Here is a 23,531-nt window from a genome sequence, read left to right as displayed (position 1 = left end):
TGCAGTGGCTCATGCCTATAATCCCAACACTTTGGGAGGCCAAGGTAGATGGATGGATCACTTGAAGCCAGAAGTTTGAGACCAGCCTGGCCAACATGGCGAAACCCAGCCTCTATTAAAAATACAAATATTAGCCAGGCATGGTAGACCACACCTATGATCGCAGCTACTGAGGAGGCTGAGACACAAGAATCACTTGAACCTGGGAGGCAGAGGTTGCATTCAGCCAAGATCGCACCACCGCACTCCAGCCTGGGTGACAGAGTGAGACTCTGTTTCAAAAAAAAAAAAAAAGCATTTTGTTACCTCAAAACCATTATTCAGCAACCATAATTATTATATCTCTAATTTTAAAACATCCATTATAATTCACTCAAAAACATGTGGTGAGCATTTTTGACATGCAATGCGTGGTGCCAGATCATACTCTCCAGGTAATTAATAATGTCACAGAATATTTTTAACAGAAAACGTTGCTGATGCTTATTCTAGAACAAGCAAAAAGGCTCCAAAGCCTAAAACCTGCCTTGCTAGTAGTCATACTATGAATGACTGAAACAGGTGTGGTGAAAGCAAATGTCCCTTCCACACCTTACATACCCAAGCACTGAATTTATGTCTATGTGCATAGTGCATGCAGGTCACACTTGGCACCCTCCTCTACTGTTCTATTTCCTAAAAAGGTGGCCTGCCTACTTCTGTAATTTTCTAGTAGCTTACAAGCAACATTTCCCATGAGCTTGACCAAGTCCTTGAAGTTTTCCACCTGTCCATACTGCTTGCAAACTTGTTCCCATAAAGTTCATGCCAAAACTTTTTGGAGAGCCTACTGGTAACTATTCTCCTTCCAGTTTAGGAGAAATGGAAGAAAAAAAGAGTACCCCAGCATCAGTGATGACTGCATCCCAGGGCCTCATTGCTGATGAGACTGCTATGCCATTTAGATTATGGTATGGCTTGTGTGTTACCAGTTTAATGGCTCATGATGCTGTATGAGACATAAAGCAGGTCCCGTATTGGAGTCATAAAAGGTGGCACAGTATCACTAATTTATAATTCCTCCAGATCATTTTAGAGAACTGACAAAGTTTACCATCTGCTCTGAGAATATAAAACCATTCTGCAATTCTATGAATTCTATGGGTTCACATATAACTAGGGTGGAAAAGTCAGTGGTGTCAGCAGTGTTTTCAGGAAGGTACTATGCAAGAGTTTTACCTGCATGTATTATTTCATTTAGTGCCCACCACAATGTTATAAGGTATTATTTTTATCCCCAAATTTATAGCTGGGGAAACCAAGGTTAAAGTCCTCCAACTAGAGGCAGTGCCAGGATTCGAATCCACAGGCTGACTCCAGAGCCTCTTGACCACTACACAAAACCTAAAGCTATACGGTTTTAAGATCTGTTAAAGTTTGAATAAAACAAGAAAGAGAAATAATAAATAAATAATAAATAATTTATTTTTTGACATAATATATACTAGAAAGTATTTTTAAGTTCTATATATAGCTAATAAAAGCTCCAATTTTAGTGGGTTTTAAGCACTACCTCTACAGAATATTTTTAAAAATCAAAGTTTGTTCATTCATTCAACAAAGTACTGCAAGACCATCTCTGCCCTTAAGAAGACGAGCAGAAAAAACTGGCAATGCAAAAATTATAGGATAAAGTGGAAAGCACCGTAATAAAGATGTTATGGAAAGGCTGGGGTGGGGGGCTGCATTTAAATCAGACTGGGGATCAGAAAGGGCTTCCTGCAGCTATTGGCCTTAAGCTGAGTTCTAAAAACAAGTAAGAGTTAGCTGGATCGAGAAGGAGCAAAAGAATCCCAAAGAGAACATGATGTACTATCGCATGGAGACCTGAAGCAGCAAAGCAGAATGCGGAACTGTGGGCCAAGAAGAGTGGGGACAGAGAAGGGTGGGAGCGAAGAAACTCTGGAGGCAGGTAAGCAGGGTCAGCAGAGCATGCATGGTCTCTCTAGAATAAAGCAATCCAGGTTTCTCTTTTGTGACCTGGGGATTTGAACACAACTCAAACATGAGTCAAGTGCATCTTTATGCCTATTTTCCTTTTGTCAGTAATCCTTCCTAGTGCTTTAGTTTCAAGATGGAACACAAGTGGAATTACACCTGAACACCTCAAAAATCACATAACTAATTACATTTGGTTTCAATTACAATTATTCATTGATCCAAACCTTCTAACATAATACCTGCTGGCTGTCACTTACATAATTAACTTGGCCTTACTGACTTATTAGTTGATGTTAGTTAACTAATAAGGTTAAAACACTGCTAAAATATTATGCAGCCACATCCTGGGTTAGGTCTCAGAGACACTTTACAAATTAAGGACATGTTTAGTTTTAGTATTCAATTTTTTATTTGTCTTCAGTAATAACATATTTTAAAACAGCATTCAGAGATGAGAGAGCTAACAAACTCTTACTAGTTTGGGTCACTGAGTATAAAATGAGTGTATATCAGTGTGTGTACACTGAGTCTGGCCCTTACCTCTTTCCAAATTTGCATGCTTACAAGAAGCTGAATGTTTTGAGTGAGACAGCTACGAATGAAAAGTCTGGCACTAAAAATAAGAAAAACTTCTTTTAGCAGCCCATATGCAAAGTCTTCCATGGTGAATTTCTAAGTTTATGTTCCTATTACTTGAAATCTAATGAGGGAATAAACTGTAGGAAAACAACGCCTCCAAAATAATGGTATAAATAAGTTGTTATTTAGCAAAATTTGCATGTATTCATTCACTTATCAAGGACTGTGTGAGCTTACCAAAATAAACAAGATTAACAGCCATGACAGTATGAAGTTTACAGTCATGTGAGGGAGACAGACAAGGAAATAAGTGATTATAAAATGAACCCATGACTTTAAGATGGGGCAAGTGTGGGATATTTGGAAACACACAGGAGAAGCTAGGCCCAACCTTATGGAAAAGCTTCAGAATGAAAGTGGCTTCTAAGCTCAAATCTAAAGGGAAAAGAACAGGAGTTAGATAGGCTTAATATAAAACTCAAATAGCACAGAATAAAGAAAGGCACTCCATCTCCTAAATAAAATTATATCATGAAAATTGGTCCTTCCCAGGAAAAAAAGAAACTGCTTTGAAAAGGTATGAAACATGCCTGAACATACTAAGGCATCCTTGGGTCTTCTGATATAAAATGAATGAATTCCTAAGACTGAGAAAAACCTGTCACTGCTTTTAAAATGCACGGTGTCTATCTTCTTAAAAGTAAAATATGTCTCACAATAGGGTGACTGTAGTCAATAATAATTTAATGATACATTTAAAAATAACTAAAAGATTATAACTGGATTGTTTATAACACCAAGGATAAATGCTTGAGGTCATGGATATCCCATTTACTCTAATGTGATTATTATACATTATAAACCTGTATCAAAATATCTCAGGTATACCTGAAGAAAAAGGGAGACTCACTTAAGTTCACTGTTTAATTCACTTGCCATCTAAGCAACAAAGTATGAATTCATACAACAGCCACAATAACAATTTAGCCAAAATTCAACAGCCACAAATCAAATGTTTTTATGGATGCACATCAGATAATCTAATCCTAGTAGTGATATAGGTCCCATGATGCCTAAAATCCTGGAGGAAAAACACAATAACCATTCCTTTAAGAGGGCAGGTCAGGCTATTTTGCTTAAATATCTTCTGGAATGTTAAGAACTGCTGTTATGAACGAACAACTCAATATTTATGGGTTGTACAGGATATAAAGGTGAACATTTGAATTGCTTCATATGATTCATCCTTACTGAACACTTTCAACTCCTAAATATTAAGGATCAAACTTACATTCCTTGTAAATAAAGCTAATAGGTTGTGCCCCCACCACTAATACTCATTGAAATTGTTAAAGCTCAAGTACAGTCTTATCCTATAGCCTAAAAAACAGTAGGTTTTTTTTTTTTTAATTTATTTTAAACACAAAATGCCACCTTTCAACAGTTGCTCTTTGGTCTTCTCCAAAAGCTAGCAATCTAATTTTGTCAATAAAACTTATTTGGGCCAGCCTAGCCAACATGGCAAAATCCTGTCTCTACTAAAAATATAAAAAATTAGCTGGGTGTGACGGCACGCACCTGTAATCCCAGCTACTCGGGAGGCTGAGGTGGGACAATCGCTTGAACCCAGGAGTCGGAGGTTGCAGTGAGCTGAGATCACGCCACTGCATTCCAGCCTGGGTGGCAGAGTGAGATTGTCTCGAAAAAAAGAAAAAGAAAAAACTTACCTGGGGTACAGTCTGCTTCTCTGTCCCCTCTATAGACCTAATACAGTGTGTTGCACATTATAAGCATTCTGTGAAGATCTATTGGGTTGATTTTGAAAATGTTGGTGTTTTGAAAAATTTCCCCCATCCACACTTGGGAAATTTAGAGTTAAGATCTGAATTTCCCACCAGAGATGCACTGCTGACCTAAAAGCCATCCTTTCACAACTCCAACATCATTAATCTTAGCATGATGCTCCGTTTCTCAAAAGCCTTCACTGAATCCCACTGCCCAGAGGATTAAGTCCGAATTCATCATACTATTCAAGCCTGCCACAATTCTGCTCTTCTCTTGCTTCCTAACCTTTTCTGCACAGACTCCCCAGGATGAACCCTTGATTCACTTTATCCAACAGATGACGTTTATTCCCTCCCTGGCTTGTGCAATTAATCATGCCAGGAAGACCTTCCCACTCCATCCCCTCAGTGAATCCTGCTGCACTCCCATCAAGGCCCAACTGAAGCCCACCTCTGTGGGCTGTGTGAATTTTCCCCATGAGAATTCTTTTGGGCACCCACGATTTGCACACTTTTTCACTGCCTCATCCTCCTCTCTGTATGTGTCCAGCAGCTCTCTAGACACTCAGAGGGCATGGCCTAAGTCTGATACTGTTTTTGGATCCCACACAGCCTTTCAGGCATATTAGCTGATTAGGTGCTCACCAATACTTGTTGAATACATTGTTTACATATGACTGCAGGGTTTTTAAACCAAATAATTTCAAGATATTCAAGCTCTTACCAGGCTGGGATATAAAGCTAGGTCTCTGGGCCTCCTGTCTAAAAACAATTAGTTTAAGAAAACAATAAAATGTCATGTACTTTTTCTATCAAACAATTTTAATTCTGTAACTTAAACCTTACAGAACTCCTGTCTTCCTACCCCCATTCCCACAACCACACCTTACATCAGCCATAATTGAAAGTGACTTTTATTCCTAAAATTTTGCTTCCATTAGCCAAAGGTTCACATTAACATTGTTCGGAGTACAGCTGTTGCTCTACCACTTTGAGGTTAGAGCCCAAGGGCAGAGTGGTGAGAACAAGGAAGTTTTCCCTTCCCAGAAGTCAGGAAACCACTCTCAGCTACCCTTTCTGGGCAAGAGGAAGTTGACGCAAGGACAGGAAATAATTAATGATTTTCAGCTGTATAAGGAATAGGCCTCTTTAGAGATTTTTTTTTAAAGAATTACTCAAAATGGCTATAAGATTTAAGAGTGGAAGGGAATGACATTTTTAAAAAGGTCTGATGAACTCCAACGACAGTCCATTTTTAAAAATACTGTTGTTGTTGGCACTTTCATTAAAACAATCCGGGTTATAGACCTGGCAGCCAACACTCTGGCTATTCAAAGGTCATTCTTTGTTCTGAAAATCAGCATCGACTACCAGCCCAGTGACATACCAGACCCAGCTGCTGAAAGGGTGCCACACAAAGAACAAGAAGGTACTATCTCACAGTTATAGAGTTCACATCCAAAAAGGGGCAAACAGATGAATGAAGACTGGAGCTTATAAATAATCCTAGGGCCAGGCAAGGACACCACAGGGCTTGCAGGTAAGCAGGAAAAACATCTCTAGGCTGAGAATGTCAGAGCAGCACTGAACCTTAGACACCATCCTGTCCATTCCTCTCATTTTAGTCAGGCTCAAACAAGTAAAATAATTGGCTCGAGACCAGAGTCTGTCCCAAAACTCAGGTCATTCACCCCAAGGGAAGGAGCACTTGGTGTTACCTTCCCTGCAGTTTAGTGAGTCATGCCCAGGTCAACAGAGACCCACTCACATTAACACCAGCAGAAAGCCAAGGCTACCCGTGCCCCACCCATAGGAGTGGGGAAAAAGAACATTTGAATAGTCCTATTAAAAGTCAGTCTTTTTAGACTTCTCAAAGAGAAAAAAGAGCCATTAAAGATCCCAGTCTTAAAACAACCAGACTATTTTTCTTACTTTTCTTGCAGTTCCACTTAGTAACCAATGCATTTTACATTCTAATAACTACTGTCAAAACAGGATTAAAATCCTGAAACAGCACCCTCAGACTTGCTGGATTATCCCAGTTATATATTCTCCCAAAGAATAAGTGAAAACCCACATTCTGAAAATGTTGTCAAAGCGGTACTAGAAAGCAAATTAAATGATCCAATATTCAGTTTAACTTTCTCTTATCTCTCTCCAATCCATTCTCCACCCAGCAGCCAGTGTGTTCAAAATATAAATCTGATCAGGTCACATTCCCGCTTAACACTCTCCACTGGCTTTCTCTCAAGGCAACTCTTGATTAAGACCAAAATTTCAGGACCTCAGTCCAATGGCCCCTCCTACCTACTCAGCTGCCTCTCCTGTGTGATTCCACCGCCACGTGCACTGCAGCAACACTGTCAGTTCCTCCGATGAGGCCAGCTCCTTCCTACCCTAAGATGTGGCACAGCATTCCCAATGCCTGGAACACTGTTCTCCCTCTCCTCACTCCCATCCTGACTTTATCCCCTTATCTTCTTTTCCTTCTAGATATCAGCATAATTATTCCTGTCTTCTCAAGAAAGCCTTTCCTGACCACTGTTATCCACCTTTCTAGCACCAGCAGCCCTCCTCTGCAACACTTACTATCATTACAGTAAATTATTTTTGTGATTCTTTGATGAATGCCTGCTTCCTGCAGTCAGCTATGGGCCCACAAGGGTGGCAACCATATTTGTTCTTGCTCACCATTGTACCTACAGTACCTAGCAGATAAATATTTATTGAATCCCTAATTTAATTAAAGAAGAAACAAACAAATGATGGGCCTAAAAGGGAGAGCTTTTAGGCAGCACAGAAAGATTAAGGGAAGGTTTAATCCCTTCTTAGCCAGGCTTTCAGCATTTCAGATAGATATACGTAGAGTACTTTCACAAACGGAATGCTGGGAAAAAGCAGATCTTTCATAAAGTGCTAAGAAAATAAAACCAAGACTCTTAATACATATATTACCCTTTTAATTAAAAAAAAAGCTACTCATTTTTCAATCAACTTTTAATACTACTTAAAAGTTGCAGTGATCCTTAGTACACTTGAGAATTACCTCAGCAACAGGCAGGTCACTGCCCCCCAAAACTACCACCACTCCCACAAAACAATGGTTACATTTTTCTCTAAAAGTTTCTTTCCATACTCTTTGCCACAGTAAGTTAGAAGCCCTAGACCAGCACTGTCCAATATAAACATAATGCAAGTCACAATTTTATAGTAATCACATTAAAAAGGTAAAAAGAAACAAGAGAAATTAATTTCAATAATATATTCTCTTATTTTTAACTTTAACAGAAAGAAAATAGGGACAGAGTCTCACTGTGTTGACCAGGCTGGTCTCAAACTCCTGGCTTCAAGTGATCCTCCTGCCCTGGCCTCTCAAAGTGCTGGGATTATAGGCATGAGTCACCGCACCTGGCCTACTGTATTCTTTTTAACTCAAAATATCTAGTATATTATCATTTCTACATGGAATCAATATATTTAAAAGTATTAATAAAATATTTACATTTCTTTTTTTTGCATTTAGAAATCCCCTGTGTATTTTTCACCTCCAAACTATCTCATCAGACTAGCTGTATGTGGCTAAGCGGCTACCACACTAATAGAGGAGCCCCACACCATCCACACTTCTGATAAATTATTTGCTCTTTTCCTTTAAAAAACTTGCAGAAAAAGCTTTTAATGTTCTGTGTACCAGACAAAGCAACAATGGAAGGTTGATTATATATTCACTACAAACAACTGAAAAATAAAGGGACGAAACCAATGGTTGCATGTACATTAGTATAATGATACCTTCTTAATTCGTTCATGACTTTGAAAGCTTTCTTCATATGCCAAGGATTCACTGTCACTGGGCAGTGTTTTTCGGTATTATCATCTTTTGAATCGAGAGGCTTCTGATGACCCTGCTTTGTGCATCTGTACATAAAAGAAAAGAACAAAAACAGAAAAAGATCTTATTAAAGATCATTTAGTTCAGCTTATCAAGCTACAAGAGAGACAATGAATGTCTCCTTCCCCTACTTATTTAGAGGAAGTCTCATGGACAGAATATCCCAATGTAAGGTTAAGACAATTAAGAACAGTTTCTGATGGACACTATGGTTTCAATTAAAAAGTGGGTAATTACCTCCCTGGTGTCCAAGTTCCGTCAAAGATCAACACAGAATATTCAGCAGAAGTGGCTTAGCAGATATCTCCAAATAAAACTGTTGAGAAATGATCTTCTCCATTGGAAATTAACTTGCTTTTACAAACTTCTATAGTCATACGTTATTAACAAACCAAGACAGAGCAGGATCATATTTTACACAAACTTCAGAAACTTAGAATCTGATTTAAATTTTGCTCTCTACCTGCCAGGATATATTAACCCCATATATTTTGACCTATACTAACAAGAGATTAATCGAGATTAATCATGTTAGTTAATAGTTATTGAGTATTTACCATATGGCAGCCCTGTGCTGAGTAGTTTACTTTCATTATTTGGTTAATCCTCACAACAACTCTCTGAGCAAATTACTATTATTATCCCCATTTAACAGATGAAGAGAATAGTTTGAGTAACGGGGTAAATGGTAGGGCTGGGTAAGAGTATGGCCAGTCTGATTCTCCATCTTGTTCTTTTCACTAATATTTCAATACCATTTCCTACACTGAACAGTGAATATTTAAATTTACATTTTTTAAGCACACAAGGCTATACTAGCATTGCTACATGAATTATTCTTTCAAGACTTAGGACATAAAATTAACCAAAAAAATCAGGGTCCCATGAGGAGGGGGGCAAGAATTAACTGCAAATTAATGAACACAAGACAACTTTTTGAAGCAATGGTTATAAAACTTTATAAATTTAATAAAAATCATTAGATTGCACAATTATAATGGGTGGATTTATGGTATGTAAATTATACCTCAATAAAGCTATTACATAAAAAATCAGGGCACCAATTTTTTAACTAGGCTTAAAAAATGAAGTCTAAAAATATCATACTTGTATATATATCAAAGAACAAGCAAACATCATTATTAATTGCTGCACTTCTCTTCCTTTCCTGACCCATTTCTAAAAGGATGATTCATTTTTAAACATTATCGTTCATTAATTCATTCAGCAATTGTTTTTAGTACCAACCATGTACCAATCACTACTCTTAAGGCACTTGGAATATATCAGTGAATAAAACAAAGATCCCTGTCCTCATAGAGCTTGGAGTCTGGTGGGGGGAAAGGGAAAGACAGCACAAGTCAGGGAAGCAACTGGCATGTTGGGAAATGGTGTTATGGAAGTAGAAAAAGCAGGGCAGCGTGAAGAGAGAGAGAAATGTGGGGACGGTGGAGGGGTGTAATCTGCAGTAAATAGGGTGCTCAGGGAAGGCCTAGTTGAGAACTGAGATTTGAACAAAAGACTAGGGGGTGTGGGAACATCCGGATGGAAGTAGTAACTACAGCAAAGGCCAATATGTACCTGGTATGTTCCAGGAACTGTGACCCATGCAGCTTTGGCAAAAGGCTGGGGCTGAGCAGGAGAGGGGAGTGCAGATCACAAAGGGCCTTTTAGGATATCCTAAGGCCTTTCACTTTGAGTGAAATGAGGAGACACTGCAAAAGAGTGATACAATCCGACTTACGTTTTCCAAAGACCACTTTGGCTGCTGGTTGAGAACACTCTACACGGGTCAAAGATGAAAAGGGGGCAACTATTTAGCAGGATATTACAATAATTCACTAAAAAATGACAGTGGCTTAGGGAGGACAGTCGCAGTGGAGGTGATGAAAACTGGCTGGGTTCTGGACATTTTGAAGATACAGCCAACGAGATCTGTTGAAACAACCATATGACATGTCAAAGAAAGTCAGAATGACTCCAAGTCTTTTGGCCTGAACAAGAGAAAGGACTGAGTTTCTGTTCATTGAGATGAAGAAGGCTGCAGGTGGAAACTGTTTGAGATAGGCAGAGATCAAGAGCTGTTTTTATACCTAATGGTTTTAAAACATCAGACATCCAAGTGAAGGCATCAAATCACCAGATAAATATTGGAGTCTAGAGCTGGAGAGAAAAGTTTAGCTGGAGTCAGAAATGTGGGAATCACTGGTTACATGGATGGTACACGAAGCCATGAAACAGGTACTCAACATGAATATAACCTCTAAAATTAAGCAAACCCCAAACCCCAGAATCAGCACTAGTTGAAGCACCTGACTCTCTGAGGGCTTGCCTACTACAAGTGCACATCAGTTCTACTTCCTCACCGCTTGAGAGTTTTTAAGGGGCCTAACAAATGAATTAGCGCAAGGCTTTACCTCCACAGGGAAAGCCTACAGCTGAAGTGGGAGAATAAGGAGGTGCCACTCTACTCCCTATGCCCTCTTGAAGGTGTGTGTGTAGGGAATTAGTTACACCCAGTCTAAGAAAGGAAAAGCACTGATAAGTCTAGAAGCCAAAAAGATGGCAGAACATTCACGTCTGGAGGGAGAGAACTGGAGAAACACTTTATAGTATAAGACAGATATTCTCATTCTACCTGTAAAGGAAACAGTAAGAAACCAGGGAAAGGGGAAAATGCGTAGATATATGCAACCCATGCAAACTTTCTAACCATGTAACACTGCATGTCTATATACGATAGCAAGGTAATACTTATTCTATATTTGCTTCTAGTTTAATAATTTAGAAGGTGCAACAAAGGAAGAATGTTATACTGAGGATTAGCAAAACTATCATAAAAGAATTTTCAATGCTTGAAAGTGGAAGCAAAAGCAACTCTGCCCCAGAAAGAATGTCATGATTTAAGAGTCAGGAGTGTTTATATTTGCTTAAGAACTTAGGAATTAAAATTCCCTGCATTGGAGAATTCACTTTAAGACAGTTGCCATACAACAATCAATGCCCACATTGGTGCTCTCTTAAACCTATTTTCAGCTCCTCCTTTTTCTGATGTACTACAGAAACCCTGCAAAGAAGACTTTATTCAAAGGCTTAAAGGAATAAGTAAGAAAAAACACTGAATTTTGTTAAGTGTTCTCTGTACCGAGAGTCACTTACAAATACATCACCCCTTCTGCAAACGTCCATTTTCAAAACGAATGCCCTTTCCATAAATTTCCATTCCCTGTGTGGCTTTGTGTTAGATGGCTTCTCATTCAGAAGCAGAACAGAAAATGATGCATAATGTCTAAAACTATAGATGTGAGACATATATACATATACATACTAGGAATAACTAGTTAAGTGAGAGGTAAAGGTTTACCCTTTAGGTTGTACCACATTAAATGAAGAATTACACCTTTGCCCTGCTTCTCTTCTGAAGCAAAGTGCTAGCCTTTTCCAGAAAAGCTTCTCATTCTGAGAACTGTCTCCCTTAAAATACCTGAAGAAGATATTTTTCCAAGTTCCTTTCACCTTTAAGTCTTTATGCAACTCTTAGACTCCTCAAGTAGTCTGGCAATTATCCAATAGCCTATTGTTATCAACACATACTCTAAAATAGTTGAGGTTTCCCAGGGTTTGGATCCCAGTGTACTGCTATGTTTTATCATAGATATCCTAAAGCCTTCCTTCAGTGACTGACTTCTGCAAATTCCCAGCTGTGGACACAGGTGGCTTCTCAGATGAGGTGACTTTCTGACTCTGCCTAAGAATACACTATTGATGATAACTGAATTCTCAGACAGGAAGAAAACAAAGACTCTAACAGGGCTGTCTCTCTCAAATAGTCAAGATTTCCAAACCAGGCAAAGGTTTAAACCTGCTGTAACAATTCTGAGAACACCACAGAAATGAAGTAAAACTTCTTTAGATATTTATTATTGGCTTTGAAACAATGGTTTTCAGCAGCGTGAAAGAGAAAGATCAGAATCACCCAAGCAATTTTTTCAAGCCACAAATAACCACCCCTTCTCACATGAAGAGTCACACAAGCCCTTTTTAGAATTAGCTATACATACATGATGGCATCTCCAGGAGTATAGGAGAAAGCCAGCAATGCGTGATTTTTAAAAATAATAATAATAACAAAAGTCATGTAATATGTCCTGCCACCAACTTACCTCCCACCTCAGAATCATCCCAGATTAAAAACAAATGCTTTAGAAAATATGTTGTATTTTTAGAAAAAAAAAATGCAACCATTCATGTGAATGATGCAGCTGCAAAGTTTAACAGGAGATCAAAGACATTTTGACATTTAGGACATAAATACTTGGCCCTTGGGTGGCCACCATCACTGTTCTCCCCTTTGCCTGTTCACCTCAAAAGCTGCAAGACTCCCCTGCTTGCAATGAGTCACCCACCATTACTCACAAATTTCTGCCAAGTTCACGTCAGCAGCTGTTGTTTTCAAAGTCAACATCCATGCTGTAATGTTTTGAGGTTTCTCCATTACTTTATAATATTTCTTCTATTTCTCTGCTGTCTTCCCAGCCAAACTTGCATTCAGAAGCAGGCATCTTACTAGCATTGCTCTCATAAACAAATCCAGGATATCAGAAGTACAGAGTCAACCATAACTAACATTTTAACTAAAATTTGTTATGTCATTCTACAGTTTCTCAACAAAATACTCTCACATCCTTCAAACAAATAACCACTATATTACTTAGAGGCTGTGAAGGTAGAAGACTTTCTCAGTTGGAAACACGTTTGGGTCTATGGTAGGGTTGTGATTTCAATTTTTGCAGTTAGCTAAGGCAAAGAGACACACTGCAAATTTTCTTCACATGTCTGGAATTTAAACTTTTATTAGGTATGGAAACAGTAGACTAATCTACAAACATATGTTCATATTACCAAATAAATAGAGCTTTTTAAAAATGTTAACATTTGCCCTATAGACATGTAAGAACTTGGATTAGGTCTTCAGTATGTAGAACTGAATATGAGGTATCTTGTGAGATAAAAACTTCTATCTCTTTTTTCTTTGTATTACTTACTTCTCCAAGAAAAAAAAAAAACTTCTGATCTTGCATCAAGTCACAGAATGCCTTTCAGACAATATCATAATGCCATTGAATATTTTAAACATATATAGTTAAAAATTATTTTTCCAATTTTCCAGAGCTGAAAAGGAAACATCTAGAAAAGCTTGAATTGCCAAACTTTACTAAAATATATTAGCAGTTAAAAAGCAGAGCCCTGAACTCACTGAAGGGCAGAGGGAGGTATTAAAGAGCACCCTATTCTCTCTGGAGAACTCAGTTGTGCGGCTGTATGTTAAGTGTGTGGGGAAGCATTGGCAGGAGGAGGAGGTTGGGATGTCTGAGGTGGATGGAAGTTGGAGTATAATTGCTCTCTGATAGTAGAACAATGGAGCTGTAAAAAGCTCTGCTTCAGTTCAACTCAGCTTTCTCTCCCTCTTTCCCTCCCACCTACATGACAAACAGAACACAATCAGGCACTTTTTGTCCCTGACAGTGACTATTACCAGGAAAAGGACCACGGTAAAAGCATGTCTTATGCAAGATCAATCTCCTAAGGAATATTTTATAAATAACTAACAAAGCATTGTCAGAGTGGGATATTTGTGAGGTGCTAAAATAGGGAAAAGGAGGTTGATGATCCATTTCAAACATTTCCATTTATTTTATCACTTATATTTCTGACTTTTCCTTTGCCCCTCTTCCTACTATTGCCATCACTTCGTTGGTAAGGGGGCGGCAATACGACTCCGCAATTCAGTTGACTGGGATACATTTTCCAGCACTGAAATGAAAAGGTACTAGATGAGAACCAGAATCAGAAAGAAGCCCAAAATTGTAGTTCTGTCTATGCCAAATACTAACCAAGAGACCCTGGATTAGTCACTTAGCCTCTCTGGGCTTCAGACTACTTATAAAATTTATTTCACAAATATGTCTGATGTGAAATGTAATATGAAAGTCAAAGATAGTAATATCTCACCTACCTATCTCAGGGAGCTGTATAGGCACTAGGCACTATATGAATGTAAACAAAGTTTAGAAGAAAATTGTTGAATTCAGGATCTAAACTGAATATGCAGATATATTTTTATGGATCTTATTGGCCTTCATTTTTAATTGCAACATTCAATTCAAAGTTAATAGCAATATTCAAAATGACCAAAGCCAATAAATTAAGTATTTAAGTGCTGCCTAGATGCCCACTGCATGCCATGTACTAAGAAGGGTAAGAAACATTAGGAAGGCTGAATTGAGATCTTCCTCCATTTACCATCTAAACAGGAAGGTACATGGGAAACCACTAAGGAATGGCACAAGTCAGTACATAGGTGCAGTGACAAACACCATAGGAATGCAACGATGAGCTGGAATGAGTTGGAGTAAAGAGGAAAGACTTGGTGAAGGAGATGGGGCTCCAATGGGGCCTTGGAGGAACTTCAAGTTGTTGTAACAGGGGAGAGAAGAAGAGAAGCATAGGAAAAGGCTGGAGAATCCTGGCTTGTGGACAAGGGAGAGTTTTAAAAGCACATGATGATCTTGGATATATAGGATAAGATAAAATGATGAAAGGCTGTGACTGCCTGAGTCTCTGGTTTTGATAAGTCACTTCACATGACTCTAAGATGTTGGAGGGTTAAAACAGTGTGGGGACTGAAGGATGAGGAGAGAATACACAGAGCTCAATAGAAGACCAGTGAAAAAGTTCAGGTATCAAGTGATGAAATCCATTCATCAGAATAGTAGCAACCAGAATGGACACTTGAAACCAAGACCACAGTTCCTGGGGACTGATAAGATGTGGAGGATGAAGAAAGAGAGAGAAATCAAAGACTATTCCAATGCTTTGGTTATCAGGGACCAGAAGAATGGTTATCCCATTGAATAAGTGGAAATGTTATAAAATGAAGTCAGTTTGTGAACAAACATCAGTTTTGGATATATTGGGTTTAGAGGCATGAGCTAAGAGTAGAGATGTGAGAAGTTCAAAATTCCACACCAAAGCACAGACCTAGAGCCCCGACTTAAGATATAGATGGAGCTAGAGCTCAATGATTAACAGGTGATTGAAAAGAACTGGCCAAGGCCTACTTCCGTGAGGAAATACTGCCCACAAGCAGTGATAGAAGAGAAGTCATGCAAGACAGAAAAAAGTGATACAACAGAGAGATTAGAATCCCACTTTTTCTAATACTTGATAAGCTTGAGAGAGTAACTTAAACTCTACTTCTTCATCTGATAAATAAGACACCTACCACTATAAGGTTGTTGACAAGACTAAGTGAGATTAAGTGATAAAGTATGCAAATCACATTTAGCAACCTAAAAACCAGAGTAGGAAAACAAGAAAAAGAGCTATCATAAAAAGCAGGGGCTTGTTTTTCAAGGTAAAATCAGAGAATGGAACTGGTCAAAGGAATATTTTAGCAAATGCCAATAGTCTGAAATGTAAGAAAGTACAGTGCGTAACACACAAAAAGTTACGGACCCACTCACTGCAGCAATTATCTCATCAGGGGAAGAATTCAAGAATGCCTTTGTGCTTGCTATTCTCTCTCCCTGGAATGCTATTCCCCCTCTGGATTGTGCTAAAATATCACCTCGTCAAAGACACCCTGACCCTATCTGAACTATTATTCTTATTATTCTCTACCCTTTTATCCTGCTTCATTTTTGTTTACTGTAATACTACTAACAATATTACATATTTGTTTGCTATTAGTTTCAATCATAGGAAAAGGAACTTTGTTTTCTGAGATATCCCCAAAATCTGGCCATAGTAGGCACTCAATAAATATAAATTAAAAACTCAAACTACCTCATCATAAAGAGTAAATGCATTTGGATTTGGTAGAACACTACAGAAATGCAACATAAAGTGAATTTCCTTCTCTGGATCACCTTGAAAAAACCTGCCTGATCTTAAGAAAGAAGTTCAGTGGTCTTCATAAGCACTACTAGTGTAAATCCGTAACAGCCATAGATGAGTAAACTTACAGTCACCTTCAGAAAAGCACATTTACTAATAGTTACTGCATGCCTACCATGTACATCAGAAACAAAAGGTTTGGGGCATTTTGCAGGGAGTAGGTGGAGTGATTTCCCAGCATCAGAAATTTTTTAAACTACTACATAAATGCTACCTATTTCCAGAATTCACTTCTCAAGTTCCCAAATGCACCTCAAAGTTGTCTCTATATGTAACACTTCCTTCAACACACATTGATCCACATGTCTTCTTTCACCATTACCTTGTTTGTGGGCCATTATTACTCCTAAATATTTTAAATGTCTTTGTCTATCACTGGGGAGATTCACCTGTGATATGAGAGATGCCCAATGTACATTTAGTTAAACAAAAATAAGAATACACTCCAATGCACTATAACAGACAAACAAATGAATACTGGGTATCCTGTAGCAAGGTTCCAAATTCACAGCAATTGAATCTTAGAAAGAACATTAAAGGTCATCCGGTCCAGCGGACTGCAAATGTCAGGCTTCAGTGAACTTTTTACTGATCTATGTCAAAATGAGGACAATGTAATAAGTTTTCATAAGGCTAAGTTTTTTAAATTTAAAGACAATCCTTTAGTCAGATTATATTCTTCCTTATATTTGAGGAAGGATACTAAAATGTTTTTTTCTTTCATAAAAAGATGGTGATAGTTGATCATTGTTGTTTCATAAATAATTCTTTTACTTAGCAAAACAAAAAACTTAGCAATTGTTAGACTTCAATTGTTTTTTTCTTTTTTTAATTTTACAGGTCAGTTAAATTCAAAAATGTGAGAACCTCTGCTCTAATCCAACCAATTTTCTGCTGCCTAAATGCCTTAGAACATGGTCAACAAGTTGTTTTTCTGCCTATGCATGACCACCTCTGACGACAAGTCTCTAGTAATGTGGAACCATCAACTGAAAAAAGATATGGTTCTATCTGAGGGATGTTTGCTTAGTTTTGTGAAGGAAAAGCAAAAAAATCAAGGCTTACAGAGAGTAAGCCGACTTGTGAAAATGGAGCCAGTAAAAAAACAAGTGCCAAGAAGACTGATCAGTAAGAGAAGATCAGAGGGATGCACTCAGGCCTATACCTCACAGTCTTCCTTCAACTTATTATGAAAATCCTTTATACAAATAACTATAAAAGCCAGACTGTAAAATACATTCCTGAGGTCAGGGCTGGTCAATTTACATTTCCTTTTGCACATCTCAGTTTACCATCTGAAATTCCTTTACTAATCTACATCTAAACTACATCTCTCAATTTACTACCTGAAATTCCTTTACTAAGCTACATCTTTTAGTTACACATCTTTCAGGTTTGATCAGAAGCAAATGTAACACAGTCTCAATATCACCCAGACCCAGAATGCAACAGAATCTAAATGCCACATATACTCAAGTATGCAAAAAACAATAAGCACAAATATATAGTCCAACGACAATTTTTAATTATATGAGAATTAAAAAGGATGAAAGTTGGAGGCAAGGAATAGAAAAAGCACAAAAGATCAAAAGCTAATTTCAAGGAGTCCATCCTGAAGGAACCAGGAATGGTGGGTACAGATGCCTGACCTCCCTCCAAGACAATGTGCCAACAGGCCAGTGGAGAACAAGGTGGGATCTGAGAACAATGTAAATTTGGATGTTAAAAGAGAACACAAGCAAAAGCACCACGCACAGTGCCAGGCAGAGACAGGCATTCAAATATTTGCACATTGAATGAATTAATAAACAGACACTTACACAAAGAGAATCTGGGGCCGTGCTTCCAACCATACCATAAGGCACTTTAAGTCCAGGTCATCTTTCTTTGACTTAAAGCTCAGGCTAAAAATCTAACTTCATGAAAAGCTGAGTCTTCCTAATAGTTTCCACTGGCCTCTGTTCTAGCCCAGCTCTGGCAGTGAGGCCCGGTAAAGTTCCTTCCTAAAGACACTGCCTGCAAGTCTCAAATCCGGCACACGGGATCCATGGTGGAGGGATGTTAATGGGAGTGGAGGCAAACAGGCCAAGGGGTGGCAAGGAAAAAAACTATTTCTGATCCACAGAATGGCAAATAACACCATAACGAGTTCTTGAATTAGGTTTAATCCTGGACAGAACCAAATGAAAATAAAAACCTACTTGTATTTATAATTAAATAGACAGAAACAATGAAAAAGTCTCACCAACTTTAGCCACCCCTGATTGAAAGGAGTTTTAACAATTCTTTCATCCATGCTGGCATTCCAAGTTTTCCATTATATCTCAGCCTCTCATTGTTCCAGCACTATTGATGGAATCTCAATGCCAAAAATGGCGCTGGTCATCAAAATTATGATTAGCTGATCTACCCTAGAGTCAGTTTATCAATGTTTCAATGCATACATCAATTCTATTTTTTATTATTTCAATTTAAATCATCTGTGTCTCTATTCCCTCCCTCCCTCCAGAGGCTGCTTTCCCACACCCTTCTTTTCACCTGCATTCTAAGTATTCCCTTGTTCTTTCCTTTAGCTCCCTCTGTTCCAAAAGTAAAAACGAACTGCAGGAACTTATGTAGAAGGCAGGTTTACTACAGATAGCATACCTACATGTTACATATTATATACCATATGTTGGCTAAATACAGCTAGCATATCCTGCTTTAAGTGCTTCTGAGCCTGGGCAGACCCCCGTGTGCTCATGCTGCTGATGTGAACCATCCACCATCATATTTCCTAGGGGTTCAGGTGCCTTCCTCCAGCCTGCTGAAGAACATGACCAAATCTCAGAGCCCTCAAAGCCACAGCTATCGAGAGGTGACTAAGCCCCTGCTTCTGTCAGCCCAGGAAGGCCAATTCAAGAGTCTTATCTACCCCCTAGATTTCCACGACCTGTTCCACTCAAGCTAAAAATTCTGAAACGCACTTTTAGAAACTGTCGTTCCAGAATCCCATTAGCTCTCCTAAAAGGGCTGAACATCAAAAAATTATTCAACCCAAGCCAAGTATCCTTATTTTGGCTGGAATTCTGCCAAATAACCACAAGAGACTGGTGCGGTACAATCGGCATGGAGTGAAGCTTGCCAAATTTGACCGGAGAACGACAAGCCTCCATGAATAAGCTCTCATGAAAAGGTAAACCATTCTTCAGGATGAGGTTTGTCTGCGATTTGAAAAGTCAGATTCAAAGGACTCTTGTTCCTTCCTAAGAGAAGAGGGAACCAAAATTGAAATTTTCGAAACTCCTGGGTATTTACAGTTCACTTTTACCAAGATGTTTTTAAAACTAAAAACTAAAATTTAAAAAAAAAACCCTTGTTCTGAATAATGCAATAATGTCTTCTACATAATGTTTCAGCTATTATTTCTAGAAAGTAATTCTGTTGCCAGTGATCTTGAATGTACTTGGGTACCAAAGAAAAAAGACACCTGTGCCTGGCAGGTCGATACGCTACTAATTTGCCCGAGGTACGAACGAAACAGAAGATGCTGATTTCTGGATAAAACGTTCTGCAGTGCCAGGTAAAAGAGGTCACATGCCCTGAACGGCCGCCGCTCATTTAGAGTGATGCAAAAGCTCCTCAGATATTAATTTTGTTAGAAATTCGGGGAATCAAGCAACCTAAGATCAATTCATTTAGACAGCGGGTGACTGGTACTTTCCAGTTTCCTTTTTTCAACGGACTCAGTGCATCCTAGCCTGATCTCTTATAAAGGGGTAGGCAAACTCGGCACCAGGTGCCCATGCATTTCAGGGAGGTACACACAGGACCTGCAGGGTCACCCATGCACAGCCCCACCCCGAATCTTCTATCCGCCCGAGATGGGGAAGACCCTTCCCCAGAAATCCTGGGCAGCGTTTTAAGTCACCGCCTGGCCAGGCTGAGTTTCCGTCCGCGTCCGCTCAGGACTGCGGGCACAGCGCCTCGTCACGCCCCGCATCTCCCACCTCCCGCCGGCCCCGGCGGCTGTCCCCAGAGCTGCGCCCGCGGCCGGCGACACGCGCCGCAGCGGCGCGCTTATCCGCAGCGGCGCAGCCCGCCCGCCCGCTCACTCACGCGGGAGGCAGCGGCGGCGTCTCCATTGTGGCTCCTCTCGGGCTTCAGAACGCAGGCACCGACCAACACAGCCAGCACCATTCCAGCCGCGGACGCCGGCACTGCCCGCCCGCCGAGCCGCGTTCCATCCGCCCCGGAGGGGGCGCCGCGCTCTCCTCACCGCGCGCCACCACCTGCGGCGGCGGCCCCCGCGGCCATGGCCCGCTCGGCCGGGCGCGCTCCGTCTACTGCGCGGCTCCCGCGCTCGCCCGAGTGCGGGGCGGCGGCGACGGGACCGGCGGGCGCGCGGGCTCGGCCACTTCCGGGTTCGGCCCCGGCCGGCGCCGACGCTGTGACGGGACTGCGATGCGGCCTCCCGCGGCGGCCGAGTACCCCTCCCTCGGCGCCTCCCCTTCCTCCTGCTGCTGCTGCTGCCGCTGCCGCTGCCGCTTCTGCTTCTGGAGGCGGGCGGGCGGGCGCCAGCCGGGTGCGGGGCGGGCGTGCCCAGACGCTGGCCCGCAGGCCGGGACGCGGGCGGCGGCCGCCCACAGCGGGTCTCTGGATCGCCGGGACGGGGGCGCTGGAAAATGGGAGCGGAGGGGGTTCTCCGTGCAGAAAAAGGGCGGCCGAACGCACGGCGTAATAATGCTCGGTATCCACTTGCTGCTCTGCTTCGCGGGCGTGTACACGTTATTCTTTTCATTTGTGCCTGTACCCAGGGAGATGGGAAGGGTAGGCATAACCAACCAGTGTCCTTACAAAGGGTGGCACTGAGGCAAGAAGAAGTGATTTGCCTGTCCAGTGTCCCAGGCAGGAAGCAGGCTCTCCCTCCTCAGTATGCTAGCCATTCCTTGGACAAGTGAAGTGAGCACCTGCTAAGCAAGGTTTTAGTGCTGCGGCTGTGACAGCAAAACCAAGTCTTTCTGCTTGTGGAGCTGTCCATCTAGACGGGGTGACGGAAACAGTAAGTGATGCTTACCATGAAGAAACATAAATGAGGATGAGGAGAGGGAAAGAGATTTTAGAAAGAGTGGTCAGAGAAGGCCTCTCAAAAGGCATGAGTTAAAGAGATGGAATAACAGGGGCTTTGAGTAATGCAAAGAATGCCTAGGGCAGAGGGAAGAGCAGCGTGGAGACTGCTAAGCAAGATCCTGCCTGCCTTGTTGAGGAACGGGAAGGAGAACAGTGCAGCTGGTGGTTCTCCAAGTATGCCCGCTGGAAGCAGTAGCACCTGCGAACTTGTTAGAGATGCGAATTTTCCAGTCCCACTTTAGCCCTACTGAACCAGAAACTCTGGGGGTGGGGCCCAGCAGCGTGTGCTTTAACAAGCTTTCCAGATGATGCTTGCTGGGGCCGCGAGGGTGGGAGACCCTCTAATGAAGCAGAGTGAGGTCAGGAGGACGGCGGCAGGAATGGGTGTGGCGAGGAGTAATCACAGATCACCCAGGCCTTGCAGGCCGTGATAAAGGACTTGGCTTTTACTGAGATTAGAAGCAATTAGAAAGTGGTGAGTAGCTTGATCTGATCATTAAAAGGATGACTTTTCTGGGATTTGTTTGAAAATATCCCACAAAAAGAAGGACAGAGGTCGGGCGCCGTGGCTCACGCCTGTAATCCCAGCACTTTGGGAGGCCGAGGCGGGCCGATCACCTGAGGTCGGGAGTTCGAGATCCGCCTGACCAACATGGAGAAACCCCGTCTCTACTAAAAATACAAAAAATTAGCCGGGCATGGTGGTGCATGCCTGTAATTCCAGCTACTCGGGAGGCTGAGGCAGGAGAATCGCTTGAACTAGGGAGGCAGAGGTTGCGATGAGCCGAGATCGTGCCATTGCACTCCAGCCCGGTCAACAAGAGCGAAACAAACTCCGTCTCAAAAAAAAAAAAAAAAAGGACAGAGAAGTGAATAGATGAATATTTGCAAAATGTTAATTTTTGAGGCTAAGTGTTGGGTGCATAGGGGTGGTCATCATTTATGTGTGTTTATGTGTATGTTTTAAAAGATAATAATGGGCCGGGCGCGGTGGCTCACGCCTGTAATCCCAGCACTTTTTGGGAGGCCGAGGCGGGCGGATCATCTGAGGTCAGGAGTTCAAGACCAGCCTGTCCAACATGGCGAAATCCCGTCTCTTCTAAAAATAGCCGGGTGTGGTGGTGGGTGCCTGTAATCCCAGCTACTGAGGAGGCTGAGGCAGGAGAATCACTCGAACCCAGGAGGCGGAGGTTGCAGTGAGCCGAGATCGGGCCACTGCACTCCAGCCCAGGCAACAGAGCGAGACTCCGTCTCAAAATTCATAAATAAATAAAAGTTCATAATACAAAGTTTTTTTTAAAAAAAAAGATGACTGATTGCTGTATGGGCAACATGCATAGCGAGGCAAGAGAGCAAGCAAAGAGATTAGCCTAGCTGGGATGAAAGGTAAGGATGGCTTGGATTAGAGTCCGAGTGACTGAGAAAAGTGAACAGGTTCTGAATCTGTTTAGAAGGTAAAGTACTCAGGAACTGCTGACAGATTAGCATATAAAAGAAAGATGATCCTAAGGGTTTTGTTCTGATCTCTGGGGAGAATTGAGTTGCCCTTTACTGGGATTGGGGATATTGAGAAAGAACAAATATTGGAGGGCGGGGTGGAGATTGTATTTGTAAACTCTGATTTAGATATGGTAAGTTTGAGATGTCTGTTAAACATCCATGTGAAGATAGGTGTAGACAATTAGATATATGTATCTGGGGTAGATATAAATTTGGAAGTTGTTAGTATACAGATGGGTATTGAGATCAACTAGATTATGTAGCTAGAGAAAAGAAGTAGACCAAGAAGTAAGCCCTGGGGCACTCCAACATTAAAAAAGAAGAGGAGGAGGACTCAGCAAAGGCGATGGTAAAGGAACAACCAGGGAAGTAGAAGGAGATCCAAGGCAGGTGTCTTGGCAGCCTAGTGAAGGGTTCCAGAAAACAAACAAACAAACAAACAAAAAACCCTTAGTACACTTCAGCATGAGCTAACTTCTCTGTATGATGGTTCTGTTCAGAGCCATAATAAAACTTCCTACTTTACAAGGTTGTTTTAAGAATTAAGTGAAATAATTGATGTAAAGTATATAGCACATAAATGTATAATGGAAGCACTTAATAAATGTTAGTTGCTGCTATTATTTCTGTACACTTCTGTGGCCATCAGTTATACCTTACTCTGCTAGGAACTGGGTTAAGTCCTAGAGCCAGGAGATACTGACTTAGGTTTTACCAAACCTTTGGCC

General features: G+C 40.9%; 1 protein-coding gene across 12 annotated transcripts in view, besides 4 other annotated features; it reads right to left on the bottom strand.

The window, feature by feature from the left end:
* KLHL2 (kelch like family member 2) overlaps positions 1–20,634 on the bottom strand; it is a 115,596-nt gene extending 94,962 nt beyond the window's left edge. For 4 of the 12 annotated variants that reach the window (XM_047449560.1, XM_047449561.1, XM_017007675.3 and 1 more), the window contains exons 1-3: positions 20,293–20,634; positions 9,980–10,170; positions 8,136–8,261 (exon numbers count right to left, since the gene is read on the bottom strand). In XM_047449560.1, coding sequence (XP_047305516.1) covers positions 8,136–8,261; positions 9,980–10,170; positions 20,293–20,373 — 398 coding nt within the window. In that variant the 5' untranslated portion in view covers positions 20,374–20,634. Of the gene's footprint in view, positions 1–4,137; positions 4,258–8,135; positions 8,262–8,472; positions 8,552–9,979; positions 10,171–18,014; positions 18,177–20,292 lie in introns of those variants that run through there. The other 8 variants (NM_007246.4, NM_001331024.2, NM_001331023.2 and 5 more) reach the window with 5 other exon arrangements.
* Positions 13,388–13,932: an enhancer, noted in NCBI's record as "NANOG hESC enhancer chr4:166135415-166135959 (GRCh37/hg19 assembly coordinates)". NCBI's record gives its function as "activates a minimal SCP1, AML or CMV promoter by ChIP-STARR-seq in naive and primed H9 embryonic stem cells {active_cell/tissue: H9 hESC(naive and primed)}" and the evidence as "EXISTENCE:reporter gene assay evidence [ECO:0000049][PMID:30033119]".
* Positions 20,333–20,982: a silencer, noted in NCBI's record as "silent region_15783". NCBI's record gives its function as "represses an Ori minimal core promoter by ATAC-STARR-seq in GM12878 lymphoblastoid cells {active_cell/tissue: GM12878}" and the evidence as "EXISTENCE:reporter gene assay evidence [ECO:0000049][PMID:35858748]".
* Positions 20,333–21,013: a biological region, named in NCBI's record as "H3K27ac hESC enhancer GRCh37_chr4:166128334-166128834".
* Positions 20,513–21,013: an enhancer, noted in NCBI's record as "H3K27ac hESC enhancer chr4:166128334-166128834 (GRCh37/hg19 assembly coordinates)". NCBI's record gives its function as "activates a minimal SCP1, AML or CMV promoter by ChIP-STARR-seq in primed H9 embryonic stem cells {active_cell/tissue: H9 hESC(primed)}" and the evidence as "EXISTENCE:reporter gene assay evidence [ECO:0000049][PMID:30033119]".

The sequence above is a fragment of the Homo sapiens genome, chromosome 4, assembly GCF_000001405.40.
Source record: "Homo sapiens chromosome 4, GRCh38.p14 Primary Assembly".
Lineage (NCBI taxonomy): Eukaryota > Metazoa > Chordata > Mammalia > Primates > Hominidae > Homo > Homo sapiens.
The sequence above is the reverse complement of the archived record's forward strand: the minus strand, read 5'-3'. Positions and strand labels throughout refer to the sequence as shown.